At 39.5% G+C, this 20,793-nt stretch overlaps 1 long non-coding RNA gene and 1 pseudogene across 1 annotated transcript in view, besides 1 other annotated feature; both read left to right on the top strand.

The window, feature by feature from the left end:
• The window catches only part of OSMR-DT (OSMR divergent transcript), a 152,617-nt gene that overhangs the window by 65,582 nt on the left and 66,242 nt on the right, over positions 1–20,793 (top strand). The gene's annotated exons all lie outside the window — the stretch shown is intronic.
• Positions 14,627–14,921: a silencer, noted in NCBI's record as "tiled region #7781; K562 Repressive non-DNase unmatched - State 22:ReprW". NCBI's record gives its function as "represses a minimal TATA promoter and a strong SV40 promoter by Sharpr-MPRA in K562 cells {active_cell/tissue: K562}" and the evidence as "EXISTENCE:reporter gene assay evidence [ECO:0000049][PMID:27701403]".
• On the top strand, positions 15,835–16,435 carry LOC100132789 (transmembrane protein 126A pseudogene; annotated as a pseudogene).

The raw sequence follows: 20,793 nt of genomic DNA, 5'->3' as shown, positions 1-20,793 counted from the left end.
AACAATGTTTCTCAGAACGCATTCCCTTCAGAAAGTGATGCATAATGGTATAACTGACAGAACGCTCAAAGCCTTTGAAAATGAAAAAGGCTTTGAAAGAGAAAATTAAAAAGAAGCTACAAAAACAGGAACCAAAATATTTCACTTGACAATCTAAAGAGGCAGACTCCATACCCCAATAGTTAAGAGCATAGGCACTGGAATCCAACTCCTGGTTAGAGTCTGGCTTCACCATACTCTGTCTGTATAACTTAGGGCAAGTTACTTAACTTTTCTGTGCTTCAATGTTTTCATCTTTAAAGTGGGGATAATAATAGTGCTTACTTCAGAGCATTGTGGTAAATGATTAATGACAACATATTAAGAGCTCGTAGAAGTGTTTGCTATTACCATTTTAAGAAAACCAGAAATCTACAAAAGAAGTGTGAATTTTTTAAAAAACAGAAGAAAGAAATAGCTGAAAGATATATATTGATAAGAAAAAAGGACTTTAAAATGATTAGCCAAGAAGAAAGGGTTAAAAAAACACATAAAAGATATAAGATATATATTTTAAAAAGCAAATTAAAAACATTTGCAACCACAATTTGAGGGGGAAAGAAGGTAAATATGTTGCATATCAGAAGAAAGACCAAGACTATAATTGAGGACATCAGGAAAACTGTGGAAAGCAGAAAAGAATGTTCCAAGAGTAACAACTGTTATTTCCTCTATATATTTATGTGGTTGGTAGTGTTTTTCTCAGATCTTCTATGTCTTTGCTGATTTTTTTTGTCTAGTTATCCAATTAATTGCTGAGAAAAGACTCATAAAATCACCAAGACTGTGGCATTGTCGATTTCTTCCTGTAATTATGTCTGTTTTTACCTCCTGTACTTTGAAATTCTTCTGTGAGTTGCATAAACTTTATGATTGTTATGTCTTCCTGATGAATTGACCCTTTTATTATAATATAATATTATAATACCACTCTTTATTTCTGTTAATTTTTTTGTCTTGTGTATTTGTTTCCTAGGGCTTCTATTAAAAAGTACATAGAGGGTGGTTTAAGTCAAAAGAAATTCTCTTTCAGTCTGGAGGACAGAAATCTGGGTATCAGCAAGGCCATTCTCCCTCCGAAGGCTCTAGGGAAAAATCCTTCCTCGCCTCTTCCAGAATTCAGCTGTTACCTGTAATCCTTGGTGCTCTTTGGCTTGTAGATATATCAATCTAATCTCTGCCTCCATCATTACATAACCTTCCTCACCCTGTGTACCTCTGTGTCTGTGTGGCCATATTTTTCCCTTCTTATAAAGACACCAATCATTGGATTAGGGCCCACCCCAATCCACCATGACCTCAGCAAAATTTGATTACCTCAGTAAAGATCTGATTTCTAAATAAGGTCACATTCATGGTTACCAGGGGTTAGGATATCTTTTTAGGAGACACAATTTTGAGATTTTGAAATCTATTTTGCCTGAGGATAGTATAGCCACATGAACCTTTTCATGCTTTTCATTTGAATAGTATATATATTTTTCATTCATTTACCTAGAGCATATCTGTGTCTTAAGAATTACAGTGTGTCTCTTGTTAGTTTATAAACTGCATTCTGACTATTGCTGCCTTCTGACTGAATTGTTTAATCCATTAATATCTAATGTAATTATTGATATGTTTGGGTAAGTCTACCATTTTATTATTTGTGTTTTACTTGTCTCCTCTGAGTTTTTTTGCAATTTTTTTTAGTTGTGTGTGTGTATGTGGAGAGTATATATTTGTACTATGTATATAAGTTGACAAATAATAATTGCATTTATTTATGGTGGTGTTTTAGCCTATGTTCTTCATTTCTTGCCTTTACAAATTATTTGAATATTCTAAATTTCATTTACATTTTCTTATTGGCTTTACAGCTATGCATCTTTGCTTTTTTTTTTTTTTTTTGAGACAGGGTCTTATTCTGTTGCCCAGGCTGGAGTGCAGTGACACAATCTTGGCTCAATGCAACCTTGACCTCGTGGGCTCAGGCGATCCTCCCACCTCAGCCTCCCGAGTAGCTGAGACTACAGGTGCATGTGCCACAATGCTCAGCTAATTTTTGTACTTTTTGTAGAGATAGGGTTTTGCTATGTTGCCCATGCTGGTCTTGAACTCCTGGGCTCAAGTAATCCAACTGCCTTGGCCTCCCAAGTGCTAGGATTATAGGCGTGTGCCATCGTACCTGGCATCCACATTTTCTTTTAGTAGCTGAATAGTGATTACAAAATATATCCTTAACTTTTCACATTTAACATGGTAACAGAATAACACTGCTTAAAACATGAAAAATTTGCAAATACACAGGGTCGTCTCCACCCCTTACCCCTCTTTGTGTTATAGTTGTTTTATGAATTATATATACCTATATTATAGATTCCTGTCATGATTTTTGCTTTAAACAGATTTATTTTTAAAATTAAGAGAAACAAGAAAAAATAATCTTTTGCATTCCCCCAGCTACTTTTTTTCCCATTTCCGATGCTCTTTATTCTTCTCTGAGGGTCCACATTTCTATCTGGATTCTTTTTCTTTCAGCCTGAGGAACTTCCACTGGAATTTCTTATAGTGCAGATCTGCTGGCAACAACTTCTCTTAGTTCTCTTTTGTCTGAAATTGTTTTTTATTTTGCCTTCATCTTTGAAGGATATTTTTTGTTGGATTAGGCAGTCTGGGGTGAGAGGCATTTTTTCCTTCAGCACTTTATAGATGTCATTCTACTGTCTTCTGACTTCCATTGTTTCTGATGAGAATTCAGTTCTTAATCAAATTCTGTTCTTCTATATGTAATGATTCATTTTTCTTTTACTGCTTTCAAGGTTTCTTGTTTATCTCTGGCTCAATAGCTTAACTACGATGTGTTTCAATGTGAGCATCTTCATGTTTCTTCTAATTGGTGTTGACAAAGAATCTTGAACCTGTAAATTTCTGTCTTTCAACAAATTCGGAAAACTTTCCTCCATTATTACTTTAAATTTTTTTCTACCTCTTTCTCCTGTGGCTGCCTGTCTGTTGAACCATTTGTGTTATTTAAGAGGTCCCTTGTTCATTTTTAAAAATCTTTTTTCTTTCCTCTTCATCTCCTTAGATAATTTTATTGATTTATTTCCAAGTTCATTTACTCTTTGTTTTGTTTTGTTTTTTGGACATCTCCGTTTGGTTACTAAGTATATCCAATAATTCTAAAACTTCAGATATTATATTTTTTTAGTTCTAGAATTTCCTTTTGGTCCTTTTTTGTTTAAATGTCTTTGATGAATTTTCCTATATTTTATTCATCAAGAGCGTATTTTGCTTTACTGTATCAAGGATGGTTAAAAGAACGGCTTTAACATTATTCTCTGTTGGTTTCAACATCTGGTTCATCTCAGGGTCAGATGTGGTTGGCTTTCTTTTCCCTTGAGAGTTGGCTCCATTTCTTGATACTTCATATGTCAAATTATTTTGGATTGTATCCTGTATATTATGAATGTGAGATTGTGAAGAGTCTGATTTCTGCTATTTTTCTCTAACACGTGTTGATCCCTTTGCTTTCTCAGGCAATTTTCTTGGCTGGGCTTGAAGTGCAAACTCTGTTTCTGTGAGCAGCAGCTCTGGTCTTGATTCGAATCATTTGCTTAGCTGAGCTTCTTTATTCTGTCCCAGGCATGCATAGTTCAGAGATCAGCCTAAGATATGGGCAGACAGAATTTAGGGATCGTTTTTTCTATCTCCTTTCTCTTTCCTTCCAGGATTCTTCTACTTGCTTCGGTAGCAGTTTTTCAGTTTTACTTTTCTGATTCTGCTGACCAGAAAGGCTGAAGGTTTTCCATCAGTGCTCTTGCTACTGGGCTGCCAAATGCCTAATAGACCTCATTAGTCTGACTAAGAGTTGGCAAAATGCAGAACTCCTCACGGTGCTCCTCTTCTTCAAGCATTGACTCCCTGCAAGAGTCAATCTGCTTCTGTTCACACTCCAGTCATGTCAGGTGGTTGTTTTCATATTATTATGAATACATCCAGGGTTTGTCATTGTTTCTAGGAGAAGAGGAGGACAGGCATCCTCTGGGAGGGACTTATTCTGTCGCCACCAGAAGCTGGAAATCCATTTGTCCTGCAGTATTGTTTCTAGGAGTAAAAAGTTAGAAACAACTGAAAATACATCAAGAAAAGAGTGATTAAAGAGACTGTGGGTCATTATTCTCTGAAATACTATGGAACAATTTAAAAGAGTAAAGCCAATCTAACTACTAAAAGAGGTAGATCTCCAGGACATAGACTTAGGCTTAAAAGCAAGTTTCAGAACTGTTTGTATAGCCTGCATAGTGGATGCTGTGATGTGCCTCCTAGGTCTTCTCTTCAGGATCAATGCACATTTCTCCTGCTGCTAGGAGCATTGGCTGCTGAAGGATCACTACAGAGTCCCTCCCTAGGAATTGTCCTCAGCTGAAGGGAGTCATATTTTCTAAATTGTGCATCCTCCTCAGGGCTAGCTCACATTCAATGATTGGTGAATGTGAGGATATAATATTCCAGCCCCCTTGCTTCAATTTGGGTCAACTCTGAAAGCCTATCCTAGTTTTAGTGCCCATGAGATTAGCTGGAACATCCTCTGTATTTTTGTCACAGTTCAACGTGCTCTTCAGCCCAGCTGCTTCCCTCACTCCCCTACAGGTGCTGTTCCATCAGTTCATTTCCCCCCATTCAATCTTCTGCATACGTTTCATTGTTCAGCTCCCACTTATAATTGAGAACATGCAGTATTTGGTTTTCTGTTCCTATGTTAGTTTGCCGAGGATAATGGCTTCCAGCTCCATCCCTGTCCCTGCAAAGGACATGATGTCATTCCTTTTTATGGGTGCATAGTATTCCATGGTGTATATGTACCACATTTTCTTTGTCCAGTCTATCATTGATGGGCGGGGCATTTGGGGGTTATTGGGTTGATATGTGCAGCAAACCACCATGGCATACATTTACGTATGTAACAAACCTGCACATCCTGCACATGTATCCCAGAACTTAAATAAAATAAATTTTGTTACAAAACCTTCTGCATACAGGCCAGGCATGGTGGCTCACACCTGTAATCCTAGCACTTTGGGAGGCTGAGGCGGTTGGATCACCTGAGGTCAGGAGTTTGAGACCAGCCTGGCCAACATTACAAGACCCTAAAAATACAAAAATTAGCTGGGCGTGGTGGCAGGTGCCTATAATCCCAGCTACTCTGGAGGCTGAGGCAGGAGAATCCCTTGAACCCCGGGAGGTGGAGGTTGAATTGAGCCGAGATCGCACCACTTCACTCCAGCCTGGGCGAAAGAGTGAAACTCCGTCTCAAAAAGAAAAAAAAACCTTCTGCACACAAATTTCAATCTCAGAAGCTATTTACTGGGCAACCTGACTTAAGGCAGCTCAAGGCCTTTCAGGTAAACAAACAAATAACTCACAAACAAAACATGCTTCTGTAGGTACTTCTACATATGTAAAAGCATGGGAAAAGTTCCGGAAGAGTACAGGTGAAAACAGTAGCAGTTACCTGTAGTGAGGAAGTAGGAGGGTGGAGGGTAAGCAAGAGATACATTAATTTATGTTTACTGCTTAAATTTGTTATGACTCAAATATATTTATGTATCTTTGTGGAATTGAAAACAAATACAATTATAAAAAATAAAAGATAACCTTCAATCCACATCTTCATCCCAGATCCTTCAAAGCGTGAGCTCTAGGACCATGTACCCAACTGATTAGTGTACACTCCCACTCTGGTGGCCCTCAGAATTTTCACCCTCAAGCATCTCAACACAAACTCAACATCTCCTGCCTCCAGTTTTTTTCACGTATTTTCTCTCTTAGTGAATGAGAACATCACCCACTTAGCTGATTGCACAAACAAGGAATGTCAGAGTCGTTTTGTACTTTTCTTTTCTTTTTTTCCTCACTGCTCCACTTCCAACCCATGTTCAAGTCCTGGTTATTCCATCTTCTCATTATCTCTCAGACTCCTTGATTCTTTTTTTTTTTTTTTTTTAGACGGAGTCTCGCTCTTGTTGCCCAGGCTGGAGTGCAATGGCGCGATCTCAGCTCATTGCAACATCTGCCTCCCAGGTTCAAGTGATTCTCCTGCCTCAGCTTCACAAGTAGCTGGGATTACAGGCATGCGCCACCACATCCAGCTAATTTTTTGTATTTTTAGTACAGAGGGGGCTTCACCATGTTGGCTAGGCTGGTCTCGAACTTCTGACCTCAGGTGATCCACCTGCCTCGGCCTCCCAAAGTACTGCTATCACAGGCATGAGCCACTGTGCCCAGCCAGACTCCTTGAATTCTTTACATCCTTGGTCGTTATCTTATTTTAGGTTAGCATCCACTTTTGATGGGATTATTGTTCCAGAATCTTGACTTTTCTGCTTGTCTTCGGTCTTGCTCCTCTTTAATCCATTCTTCACATTCCAGCAATGACACTTTTTCCAAATCATTAAGCTATTCAAAGCACTCCTCTTTGATGGGGACCTGTTGTCTTCAGGAGATTCTAAAGTTCCCAGCATGGCATGTTAAGACCCTATTCAGCCAGCATTATATGTCCCAGCCACACTGTGCCTCTGACTTACACACTGTTTACTCTTTTACTTGTACACAGCACACTGATTTGTATTTAGGTATTCTCTTAACTCTAGAGCCTTCCTCCATCTGTTCCTTCTGCCGGAATCAATATCTTACCCAACCTATCTATCCATAATTTACCTGGATAACCCTATTAAACCTTTAGGACTCAATTAGGTCTCTTCTTCCCAAGATCAAGGTAGGTGCCCTTCTTCTGTGCAACCAGAGCATCTCGTGCCAATCCCACCAGGCATTCATCACATTGCATTGCTCTTGGCTGGTTGTCTGAGACCCTCCCTGAACTATGAGTTCCTTATTGTTTTACTGTCTCTTTGACCTTTTTATACTCAACATCGAACATGTTGATTTGCCTGACTTAGCAAAGAAAAATACATGACACCCAGTTAAATTTGAATTTCAGATAAACAACAAATAATTTTCTAGAATAAGTATTTCTCATGCAATATTTGGGGGCATACTTACAGTAAAGGTGAATATTTGTTATTTATCTAAAATTCAAATTTAACTGGGTACATTACATCTTATCTGGCAATCCTGCTAACACAGTGCCTGGCAGAAAGTCAGCATTCAGTAAAATGTGTGTATCCCAAATATATCCAAACACTCCAGTCCTCTGGGCTACACATTCCTTTAAAATCCACATATTCGTATATGATGGAGGGGCACAAATTCCTAATGTTTCCAAGGGTTCCCCAGGATAGATGGGTGACTGGGTTTGTGGCAAGAAAAATAAGTTATGTTTCCTTATAACTTCTTGGTCTGAATTCCTGGTTTGAGGTCAGTTTTTCCCTCTTTCTTCCCTCTTGATGCTGGTGTCTTCACTGATTCACTCCAGGCATGAATATTCTTCCTTTCCTTTCCTTCCATCAAAGCTCTGCTGACAAAAGGCCATTGTGCGTAACATACTGTAGTGGAGATTTGGGACCCTGGAAGGTAGCTAGCATAAGGCCACTTCCTGTAGTTGTAGAGATCATTCACCGCTCAATGGCATCTAGCCTAGGGCCCCAATAGGGGTTGGGGCCAAGCCAGGAGCCATGGCACAGGGCTACTTTTGTTTAGAGGAAGTAGTATCTTTTTTCTAATTTGGCCTAAGGTGCTCTTTAGACTGGAATAATCTTCCGCGGGATGGGATGGGAAGGGTAGGCAATTACAATGAGGAGCAGAAAAGAAATCCAAACTGACTAACAGAGAGGAGTGACCTAGACATTGATCCCCTTTTCCCCAACACAAAACATTTCTTACTGACTACCCCCTAATCAGGGATTGGGATGCCACATATTGCCACTTTTCTTCTCTGTCTTTCTGGAAGCCATTCTCCACCTGCCTCGCCTACCCCTCTCCCTGCCACTGCCACTCCCCTGTCCCTTCTCCTCATCATCCTGACCCTGCCAAGCCCTCTGGCTCCTCGGCCAGCCCCCTTCACACATCCGCATTTGCCACCAGTCTCTCATAAAGATCCATTTATCTTTTGCTTTTTCCATATGAAATTGCCTGGATTTTATGCTTGATTAACTTAAAAAATCTAATAAAGTATTTTCTCAAACAAAGAGAAGTTTCTACTTAAGATGAATTCTAACATGTTTTAGGGTCATTGCTCAAACCGCAGCTACCTTTGAAAGTAACCATTCATTTTCCCAGATATGTTGAATGGAAGAACAGTTTATATATCCACAAATGAGGAAAATGTTAAACCAGACCACATACCAATAAATATGTCTTTATTTTAAGGCTGTACTTTCGTAATAAAGACTTTACCAAGCTACTGCCTCTGGGATTTTTGCTTTGTCTTTGCAGTGGGGCTGCAGTTTGCATGGAATCACTCATGTCCTTCCAGTTGCCATTCAACATGTTATATAAAATTTCCATGCTGGGGCTGAGAGGCAGCCTATAGCTGGAAAAGAAGAACTCAATGCCCCACCTTGGCCTCCGGGACAGAGAGCACCGTTTCAGCTAACTAGTCATTTCCAGCAATAGTATTGCTTTATGTTTCAGTTGAACTCTGTAGATTATGTTGTGTTAATGGACTTACTGGAGGGAGTTCAAAAAGAGAGTAAGCATGATGAAAAGAATGAAAAAAAGATACATGGAGAAAGATTAAAGAAATATATTAAAGGCATGTCTATATTAGGAATATATATGTAAGAAATATATAAGGAATTCATGTACATAAAAGCAACGTATATATGAGCTACATCATATCCTTACATGTAGTTGAAGACTGAGAACTCATTCTGTCTCTAAGTAGAAACTGTCTACAAAGAAAGGGTGGGAAGAGTAAAACTGAACTCAGGCCACTGAAATGGGCTGGCTACACTTGGCATTTGAGATTCTTGATAAAGCAAATCTGTAAAATGTTGTCTAAACAAAAAAGAAAGAAAATTTGATTTTGTTTTGAATGGCAGGATTATAGATATATCTTGAAAAAAATGTTTTAAATTTCCATTAACAGTATTTTGATATTTTTAATGGATTAATACTAATAATAGGCTGGCCACTGTAGCTCACACCTGTAATCCCAGTGCTTCGGAAGGCCTTGGCAGAAGGATCTCTTGAGATCAGGAGTTGAAGATGCTGTCTGCACAAAAAAAAATTTTTTTTAATTAGGCAGGTGTAGTGGCGCATGTCTGTGGTCCCAGCTGCTTGGGAGGCTGAGGTCGGAGGATTGCTTGAGCCCAGGAGGTTGAGGCTGCAGTGAGTTATAATGGTGCCACTGCAATCCTGCCTGGGTGACAGAGGGTCTGTCTCCAAAAAATATGATAATAATAACACTGACAGTTTAAAAGATGTTCTTTTTAAAGTGAGCCTATCGACTCCCTTTTTAACTTCATATCATGAAAAATTTTCAAACGTACTGAAAGAGAATAGTACATAATGAATCCTCATGTACCCATTACCCAGTTTCAACAATTCACCTCTATTCCTCAACCTCAGGACTATCCCCTGCATGCAGGTTGGTGAGTTATGATCTCAGCTGCAAACCCACCCTTCTCTGCTCTCCCTGCCATGCTGGGGCTGGGGCTCTCCAACGCTCACTTTTGCCTTGCCCACTGGCTCCCTGTTGGACTCTGCAAGACGGAGGCTCTAGGCTCGGAAAGCAAAGGGGACTTGCTTCTTCCTACTGGCTTCCTGTCAACACCACCCAGCGATGCTTCTTTACCAGGTAATTTCCAGTTTGCAGTTTCTTTTTTTTTTGAGATGGAGTCTCGCGCTGTCGCCCAGGCTGGAGTGCAGTGGCATGATCTCGGCTCACTGTAACCTCCACCTCCCGGGTTCACGCGATTCGGAGTAGCTGAGATCACAGGCAGGCGCCACCACGCCCGGCTAATTTTTGTATTTTTGGTAGACAGAGGATTTCACCATGTTGGCCAGGCTGGTCTTGAACTCCTGAGCTCAATTGATCCATCCACCTCCCAAAAGTGATTTGATTGGCCTGCCAAAGTGCCGAGATTACAGGCGTGAGCCACCGCACCCGGCCCAGTTGGCAGCTTTTATGATACTCACATAACCAACTTCATTACCCTCCTCAAAGATACCAGCCACAGGGAGCTGGGGCACTCTGGGAGTCCCACCCTTTGGTGCCCCATCTGTGAGCTCAGAGACACTAGGGCTCTTCTCACGGGTCTGTGTTTTAGCTGGGTGGGGGCCTCTCCTTCAAGCTGCTACATTTTGATAAATACAACCTCTTCTCTTTGTCCCGAACCCTAGGGTTTCCTACAGCTGCTACTTCCATGATATCTTAGTTTTCTTTTATTTTGCCTTTTAGTAATCTTGTTAATAATCCCTTTCTATTAAATTCTCTATTAAAATAAATGATGTGGTCTCTGTCTCCTGACAGGACCCTGACTAATATATCCCTTCCCCTCCCGCCCTTTTTTTCTAAAATTTGTTTTGTTTTGTTTTGTTTTGTTTTTGAGACAGAGTCTGGCTCTGTCACCCAGGCTGGAGTGCAATGGCCTGATCTCGGTTCACTGCAGCCTCTGCTTCCCAGGCTCAAGTGATTCTCCTGCCTCAATCTCCCAAGTAGCTGGGATTACAGGTGCCCACCGTCATGCCTGGCTAATTTTTGTATTTTTAGTAGAGATGGATTTTCACCATATTGGCCAGGCCGGTCTCTAACTGCTGGCCTCAAGTGATCCTCCCACCTTAGCCTCCCAAAGTGCTGGGATTACAGGCATGAGCCACTATGCCTGGCCTCTAAAGTATTTTTAAAGCACATTCAGACATTATGACATTTCACCTAAATGCTTCAGAATGCATTGCCCACTTCTTTGAAATTTTTTATAATTTACTTAACCACCATGGCATTAACAAACCTAACAAAATTAACAGTAACTCCTTAATGCCATTTAATAATTTGTTTGCATACAAATTTATTTGCTTTTCCTAATGATTGTGAGATCATCATAAACATTCCCAGATGTTCTTGGGCTGCAGGGAGGAAACAGGAGCAAGGACCATAGGAGGATGGTGACTGCCCCAGGTGAGAATTCCAAAGAGCCAGAAAACCCCTGGGATTTTCACTAGCATTAGGGCTGCACCTGGGGTAAAAAGGCGCCGTGGGAGGAGCCTGGCCCTGGAAGAGTGAGTACAGGGGGTAGCCGGAGGGCCTGTGTATCAAACAGCTGATTTGGAGTGTTGGCCAGAATATTATCGCCTTTCGGCACTGCCTCCTTACCACAACCCTATCTGAAAAACATAAGTGAAGGAAACATCTTGAATTCACATCTTTATCCAGAAAAAAACCTGGAAAAGAGGGTCAGGGACAGGAAGAGCAGTGGAATGCAGAGACAGCTGAATTGGGTCCTTCGTTCAGTTCATTTCAGATAGGAATGGTCTTCCTGGAAGGGTCTGATCAACTCGCTGTTCCCTTCCTCCTGACATAAATCTTCATTGCTTTCCCAGGAGAAATGTCTCCACTGCCAAATGGTGGTTTTCGTAATGAAAGTTTCAGTGATTTATTTATCTTTCCAAGATTCTCCAAACAGGAGAAATTTAATTACGCTTGTCTAAATACTGTCAGTCATCCAGAGCCTTGAAGACCTCTTCACTCCATGTTCAGAACATAACTGAAATTAATGACACAATAAAGAAGCCAAAACTCTGGTCTCTGATAGAGGCAAAAGGAAAAGTAATGAAAAATGATTGCACATACTTTGTAGCTGTGCAGCATTGTGTTTCAGTTCCAAGGGAGGAGGTGAAAGTGGACCCACAGAGTAGGACACATGATAGTATTGGCCATTTTCTTATGGACACTTGTGATTTAAGCCCCCAGGCCACCTTCACACTAGACTGGAAAAACTTAAGGTACAAAGAAATTTAATAGTTGGAATTAGCGTTTGGTAATAATCAATGCTGAACCACTGACTACAGCACTATATTTGCATACTACCATTTTTTCTAGCATACCAAATTAGCTGTCTCTTGACCCTGAAGTCCCAGGCTATCCCAGATGTGTTTCTTGGTTTTTCTCCATGAATTAGGAGTTGCTCAGTAACTATGAAAGCCCCAGCTTTTAAAGGTCGAGCTGTACCTCAACTTACTGAATTCACCAGAAGACTAGCAGAGAGAAGACCAGAGTTACATGTTTGCTCTGCTGCTTCCAGAAATCTGACCTGGTTAAATCAAACTCCCCAGACTCTCAGTTGCTCCACTTGTAAGATGAAATTAGGAGTGAACTCTTGCCTTGTTATCATTATAGGGTTGTGGCAAGAATGACATGAGATAAAGGTCTTTTAAATCTGCAAGCAACTATGTTTTAAGGAGGTATCCTCAGCATTATTTAGCAACTTGGGTAAATCTTAAGTAGCTTCTGCTATGACCTTAGAGAAAATTTTCTAACCCTGCCTTGCCATAATTTAGCCCATAAAGTGAAGGTTCTTCAATTGTTTTTCCTAACCCTCTCAGAAGAAAGTCATATAACAGAGATATAAAATGGGAAAGACTTTGTAAATTCCAGATTTCTTTATGAAATTGTCACCAATTATAGCAGTTGAAAAGGTTGATATTAGTCCAAAGTAATTTACATACCATACAAGTAAGCATAGCCCTTTAGCTCCTGACAGCCACCACTATCTGCTGAACCTGGTTCCTTCTCAGTTATCTATTTGACTTCTTGGATGCACAGCAGAAGCCAACCTGAGTCTGTCTGCTGCTTTAGCATCTAGAGACCCCAAAGCCGTACATCACTTGGAGCAGGGTTTCTGCATGCCCCGTCCTTCAAGCACATCTTATCCACTTTGCTTCTCCATATTTCAGCTCTTTATGCAGTGTATAGGTTAATGCAAACTGATGTTTTTATGACTTAAATGGGTCTTGTTATTCAAATTTAATGAAGATGATACTCTGGGTCTGATCTTCACATTTTATGTCCAGATCTAAAAACTTCAACTTGACAGCACTTTTTGGCACATTAAGTTCCATGCTGTCTTCTTAAAAGTTATTTTAGATTTTTTGATTTTGCTTTTAATGTCCTTGATAATCAGGACCTTAATGGCTAGTATGTTCTCTAGAAATAGAACTGAGTTACCACTTCTATAAATGTATCATCAGTGGGTGTGGAAAAAGCCAAAGTTCCAGGAAGATTGCTCTGTTTCACTTTCCAGATATCAAGTAAGTTCATTTAACCGGGGAAACTTCATTCAAATCCAAACCCTAGCTGCAAGGGAGTCTGAAAACGGAGACTAGAGCTTTTTGATTTTTCCAAGTAGATCTGTTCTCAACTCCCTTGTCATCTCAGCAGCATTTGACATCTTCTTTGAAGTCCCTTCTTCTCTTGGCTTCTGTGATATAGAATTCTCCTGGGTTTCTACCTACCCTTTTGTGGTTTTTCTTCCTCTGCCTTTTCCTAAAATGATGATGTTCCTTGTACTTATGCCCCAGGCCCACTTTCTTTCTCATCCTATGTGCTTTTTCTAGGTCATCTCACATGTGTCCAATTATGATCTATTAGCTGTCAACTCCCAAGTCTGCATCTGCAGTACATATGACTCTCCTAAATTGTAAACCTATGTAGCCAACTCCCTACTAAAATTGTGTGTCCCCAAAACAAAGCAGATTCAACATGTTTGGTATGAATCCATCCTATTTTCCCTTAAAACGTTACTTTTCTCTGTTTTCATTATCCATCCAGCAATCCAACCAGAATCTTGAAATATCAGAGGATTCTAATTTTTATCTGGCGGCTGGCTTCCAAGAGGCAGGAAGCAAAAGTTGCCAGATCAGTTAAGAGCTATGTCTGTAACTGGTGCATCATCACTTCTGCTGAATTAAGTTGCTCAAACTTAATCAAAAGATTGACCCAGATTCAGGTTACCAAGAGTAGAGAAACTGACTATCTCAGGATGGGTGAGTATCAAGTCCATATTGTGAAAGAGTGTGTGGAATGGGAAATGTCATTGTAAGCATCTTTGTGAAGTGCAATCTGCAACAACATCACAATCAGAAATCAAATTCAGACTCAACTAACTCCCAAGTCAAAACATTTAATCATTGTTATACTGCTTCACATATTCAGAAAAGCACTTTCCTCACTTCTAGAAAATAGCTGAAATTAAGAAATTTTGGTGCTTCTGAATTATTAGTTAATTGTTTATTCACTTATTCATCCAATATCTTCAGATACTATAGGTAGCCAGCATCTACAACAAGCCCAGGCATTGTTTGAGTGCACACAATAGTGAATAGAATAGACAAATCATTGGTCTCCTGGAGTGTAGAGTTCATTCTTCCACCATTGCATAAATAGTTTCATTTTAAATGATGGAATCAGAATCAGTTGTTATTAATGGCAAGCAATGGTCAGTTTTTGACCCTAAGGAATGTTGGAATGAAGCTCTTCAGAGAAGCGGAGGTCTGCACAGAGTTTAAAACTTAAGCTTGGCCCACAGTGCATAGCATTGTAAAATATTTAGAGTTCTTGGTGGCATGTATACAAGGAAGAATGTAAATTTTAAATATTTGCAGTTGATAAGTATAATTTATTATATGATAGTACTTGACACATACCAGCTTACCAAGAAAAATGCTTGAACGTTGCATTCAAGCAAATTAATTTTACATCCTGTCCTGGGGTCAAACTGTGGCTCTGGCTGACTGGCCAACAGTTGGTAGGCCAACTGCCAAAACAATCAGTGGGATCACTGTGCAATCCGATCCCCTCATTAAGACAACTGAGACGCTAACAACCAAATCCAATGGACTCTATAGCAATCGAATCAATTGCCCCACAATCAGATAGAACAGCTCTCCAATCAAATTAATTTAATTGTATTTGGTTTAGTTAAGTGACATGGTGCCTGTTCTCTCCTCATACATAGCATGACATAACGCTAGCTTTTGAAGGGATCCTGAAGAACAACTAGTTCTATGCTTCTCAAATTGGGAAAAAACTATGGGCAGTGTACACAGTCACCAGATAAATGTGGTGTGTCTTTCTGGATTGCTAAATTATCTTAAAATTTGATGGGAAGGGGGAGGATACGTTTATATATGTAAACAAGTACACATATATCATGGATTATGTATACTCTGACAACACTAACAAAAATTTCAATCTCAGTGATTTAAAACAGCAAAGCTTATTTCTTGTTTATGCTACACATCCGTCAGGGTCAGCTGGGGGCTGAGTTCCTAGCATTCTTCATTCCATGATTCAGATGAACAGAGAAGCCTTTATCTAGACCTCTACGTATTGCCTTAGTGGAAGAAAAGACTACAGTAGGCCGGGCGCGGTGGCTCACACCTGTAATCCCAGCACTTTGGGAGGCCGAGGTGGGCAGATCATGAGGTCAGGAGATCGAGACCATCCTGGCTAACAGGGTGAAACCCCATCTCTACTAAAAAAAAGTACAAAAAATTAGCCAGGCGTGGTGGCGGCCACCTGTAGTCCCAGCTACATGGGAGACTGAGGCAGGAGAATAGCGTGAACTCGGGAAGTGGAGTTTGCAGTGAACCGAGATTGCGCCACTGCACTCTGGCCTGGGGGACAGAGTGATACTCTGTCCCCCACTAAAAAAAAAAAGACAACAGTAAATCCAGAGGAAATAATGAGCTAGATCTTAATACTCCCACCTGGGAGTAGAATATGTCACTTCCACACACACACTTCATTGGTCAAATCATGTCACGTTTGACCCAGCTATTTTCAAAGCGGGGCAGGGAAGGGCAATCCTACCATGTGTCCAGAAGAACTAGAAATATTTGGTAAACAGTAGAGTCACCTGTCAGCCAAAGATGGCTGCACTCAGGTGAGTTGAACAAAAGTTGTAGTGAGCCCTGGCATGTCTGAGGAAGACCTGGACAGGCACTGGAACCTGGAGGAAGGAGAATATAAGGCTCAAGATGGAAAATCAGGAGCCAGATAGCACTTTCAAGGAAAACGTAATTTTAGGCATCATAACTAGAAAAATTAACCAGCTTCCAGAAGCAGAAAGGAAACTACTTGAACATGGATCAATATATGTTGAACTTAATGCTGTTCTCCGTGGCCTAATAGCAAACAGTCTTTTTCTATGCATCTTGAACATGACACAGGCTCATATAGCTGTCGGCTCACCAATGGCAGAGAACCCATTTCTGATAGTACATGTATTTTACAGAAGTTTTGTAAATTTACCTTTGAATTGAGGTCATTGGAATTTGAAACCCATACCATAAAATGAGGTGGATTGGTTGGTCTTGTTTTTGGTGGTCTTTTCTTGACTATACCTATGAATGGTGGCTTAGAAGCCAGATATGAATCAACTCTGTTATCAGAGAAAGGAAACATCTTAAGTTACTGGATTAGAATTTCTAAGCCTGACTTTAGAAAGATGTTGTGTATTAGTCAGGGTTCTCTAAAGGGACAGAACTAATAGGATAGATGTATATATGAAGGGGAGTTTATTAAGGAGTGTTGGCTCACACAATCACAAGGTGAATCCCACGGTAGGCCGTCTGCAAGTTGAGGAGCAAGAAGCCAGTCCGAATCCCAAAACCTCAAAAGTGGGGAAGCCGAGAGTGCAGCCTTCAGTCTGTGGCCAAAGGCCCAAGACCCCGTGGCAAACCACTTGTGTAAGTCCAAGAGTCCAAAAGCTGAAGAACTTGGAGTCTGATGTTCGAGTGTAGGAAGCATCCAGCACGGGAGAAAGATGAAGGCTGGAAGACTCAGCAACTCAAGTCCTTCTACACTCTTCCGCCTGCTTTACTAATAGCCTCGCTGGCAGCTGATTAGATGGTGCCCACCCAGATTGAGGATGGGTCTGCCTCTCCCAATCCACTGACCCAAATGTTAATTTCCTCTAGCAACACCCTCACAGACACACTCAGGAAAAATACTTTGCATCCTTCAATCCAATCAAGTTGATACTCAATATTATCTCTTACATGTTGGTTCCCATTTTGCTCCAGACTGTGTTTGCAGCATTCCTTTGGTATAGACAATATACAGTACTTATAAAAGCCCTTCAGTTACCAGAACCTAGCCTAGAAATTCACCGATTTTAAACAATATGTACACAAATGGTAATGAGAAAGATTTGGTGAACAGTATTAATGGCTACCACAGAGTAGGGTGCAAAGTTAAAATCTTTAGGGTAAAACATAAAGCTTCAAAATAGCCACTAAAATATTGACTAAATAAGGGAATCATAGAAAATGACATGTACTTGCCTGAAATGTTTTATCTTAAAAAACATAAATGTATTTTCACCCCCTTGTCTTTTGATGTCTAAGGGGATTTCTATGAGAATGGGTTCATCGATTGTCATTTCCCATTGTCTTTCTTGCTCATAATAGTTCTAAGTGCATTGTCCATGTGAGAAATTCAAGCCACTAGAAAAGCAAATGGTCTGAAAAGTCCCTCAAAATGTTCTACAATTCTTTAAAAGTCATCTCATAAACACATTACTGGAAGCAATTTTTTAATGACTTGCATTAATCATAAATTTCCAAGCCATTTAATTTAGTGTTTCCACATTCACTATTCATTTCAAAATATGTTAAACATACAGACAAGAATCTATCCTTGCATATCAACCACCTTGTTAGTTCAGCTTTCATAGAAATACCAGCTCTACTTCTTTTTGTACTCATATTCTTTACATTTAAATAATATTTAATTAAGTCATGTTATGTAAGTACAAAAGACACAAACAGTTTTGGGGATAATATGACTCAAGTAGCAGGAACAGAAATGTAAGGGCGTATCAGTGGCATACGGGCCACTAGCGTGAACCATTCCTGCTCGTCAGGAACTAGTAAGTAGACAGCGCCTGATGATAATCTGGTAAAGTGATTAAATTAAAAGACAGTGGATTAAAATTTGGTGGAAAAGTTGAGGAGCACTGATTCTAGTCCAATATTCTTATATTGCAATTAACGATCCTAAAGCTTAGAGGCTGTAAATTATTTAAATTCATTTATTTACTCATCCATTTACTTAGTGGTACATTCATAGGCAGTATAGTATAGTGGATAAGAATATAGTTCTGACACCAGATTGCCTGGGTTTTGATCCCAGTTCTGCTTGTGACCTTCAGCAAGTTTCTTAATGTTTCTTGTTCTCAGTTTCCTCAACTATAAAATGGTGAGAATAGGACCTATCTCACAGGGTTATTGTGAGGGTTAAATAAGATAATGGATGAAAGTGTTATGTAAATGTTAATTTATTATGATAAATTAATTCATCTGATGAATATTTGTTGAATAAATACCATGTGCCATGTGTTGTCCCTTCCCTCATGGAGTTCATAGTTGAATGTTCAGAGTCAGAAAATTGGCAGTAAGCTTTGAAATAATTTGTTACAATTTAGTTACATTCTGTCAGGAATTACAGGGTGGCATGAAGGAGGCTTTCATCTCTATATCCTCATTTTAGTACAGAGTATGGCACATACTAAGTGCTCATTAGAATATGTCTGGAATTAACAAATAAACATATGACTTCCCCAAAAATAATACTTATTTAATAGATAAGATGAACAAAAAGTAAAGTTATCTAATCTAGTGTTTCCAGTTCACTAAAATGCCTTCTTTAAATAGGTTTTTTAAGATTTGAACTTAGGTTAGTAGATCCAGAATTCTAACTTTTACATGATAAGTATTAGTGCATTTATGTTTATAAACTTAGGAAAAATACCAATAGAACATTATTACACATTTGAACCATGACTTCTATGTGCTTCAAAATGAGTTTCTTCATTTGTTGTGTTTTTTTTTAATTATATGAATCTTTTGACTAGCAAGGAATGTTTTTGAAAGATAAGTAAACAACGAAAGTTGAAATGTTCTATTGCCCCCAAAACCTAACCAAACAGACCCACCATTTAGCAGATCTCTGGGGCCTTCTCTAACTCTGATGACAAACACATGAAGGAAAACTTGGGCTCTCTGGAGCTCCTGGAGGAAATGCGGGAGGGATGTGCAAGTCTAGGTAGCTCAGTTCAAACTGAAGATTTACCCCCATAAACAGTGAAAAAAGATGTAATGATGCCAATAAAACTTTTCCAAGATGCACGATATGTTCTCCTGACTTCTTAAATAGAATGTTCTGAAAATTCAGTGTCCAGTTTTAGCATAGTCAATTATAGCTAAAAAATCCTCCCTAACTGGAGTTGTAAAGAAAAGAGTGGCCCCAGTCTATCTCTGTTTGTTCCTATTTCTCCCATGCGTAATAATTTCTGAGATGTGTAAAATGTGACATGACTGACAATGAGCAAACATATTTCTGGTTCCAAACATATACTTACCCCAAATCAAGGCCAAATCAAGATCCCATTATCTGCTAAGTATGCATATTTTTATGAACATTACAGGGCAGAATATTTAATATTTGAGATCTTTGGTGTTTAGGTTTTTTATAGGCACCCCTTGATGCAGATATTTGGCAGTGCTTTGCTATTTGGTTATTATCAAGAATTAACATAGATGATTAAGCCTTCAAAAGTCCATTTTGCTTGTGTTGTAGACTCCTCTGTTGTTCTTTGAAAGTCTGAACTATTAATACATCTCCTCATCTTTACTTATTCCATTTTCCTTCCTCTCTCCCTCTCCGCTCCCTTATCTTTTCTCTATCTCCCTCTCATACTCTTTTTCTCTCCTTCTCCTTCTTCTTCTTCTTCTTCTTCTTCTTCTTCTTCTTCTTCTTCTTCTTCTTCTTCTTCTTCTTCTTCTTCTTCTTCTGCTTGTTCTTCTGCTTGTTCTTCTTCTTCTTCCTCTTCTTCTTCCTTTACCTTCTCCCTGTCTCCTTTCACTCCTCATTCTCTTTTCCCATTTTTTCCACCTTCCCTCCCTTTTACCCACACTCACTCCTCTTTCCCCATCAGCAGAAACCTACATAGTAGCTTTGGATCTTTGTCTACAGTTGTCCTGGCATTTTTTGTTTGTTTGTTTTTTATTTTGTTTTTCCATAAGTTATTGGGGTACAGGTGGTATTTGGTTACATAAGTAAGTTCTTTAGTGGTGACTTGTGAGATCCTGGTGCACCCATCACTCAAATACACTGCACCATATTTGTTGTCTCTTATCCCTCACCCCCTCCCCCTCTTCCCCCAAGTCCCCAAAGTCCATTCTATCATTCTTATGCTTTTGCATCCTCATAGCTTAGCTCCCACCTATCAGTGAGAACATACGATGTTTGGTTTTCCATTCCTGAGTAGCTTCACTCAGAATAATAGTCCCCAATCCCATTCAGCTCATTGCAAATGCTGTTAATTCATTCCTTTTTATGGCTGAGTAGTATGCCATCACATATATATGTGATATATATATATATCACATATATAATATATATGACATATATATCACATATATATCACATATATAATATATATGACATATATATCACATATATATCACAGTTTCTTTATCCACTCATTGATTGATGGGGATTTGGGTTGGTTCCACGATTTTGCAATTGTGAATTGTGCTGCTATACATGCGTGTGCAAGTATTTTTTTTTCATAATGGCTTCTTTTCCTCTGGGTAGATACCCAGTAGCGGGATTGCTGGATCAAATGGTAGTTTAAGTCACCGGATTTCATTGAGGTGTGTCTCCTAAGCCTGCCAACCATTTAGGACTTCAGATCTGGAGATAGAATGATACATATTTAAAGAAGAACTGATAAAAATAAATACAAACTGCTAGTCAACACTTGACAGCTTGCAAAAGAGCTCTCCTAAAGAAAACAGAATTAA

Source organism: Homo sapiens, chromosome 5 (genome assembly GCF_000001405.40).
Source record: "Homo sapiens chromosome 5, GRCh38.p14 Primary Assembly".
Lineage (NCBI taxonomy): Eukaryota > Metazoa > Chordata > Mammalia > Primates > Hominidae > Homo > Homo sapiens.
Note: the sequence above shows the minus strand (reverse complement) of the source record. Positions and strands in the feature narration are given on the sequence as shown.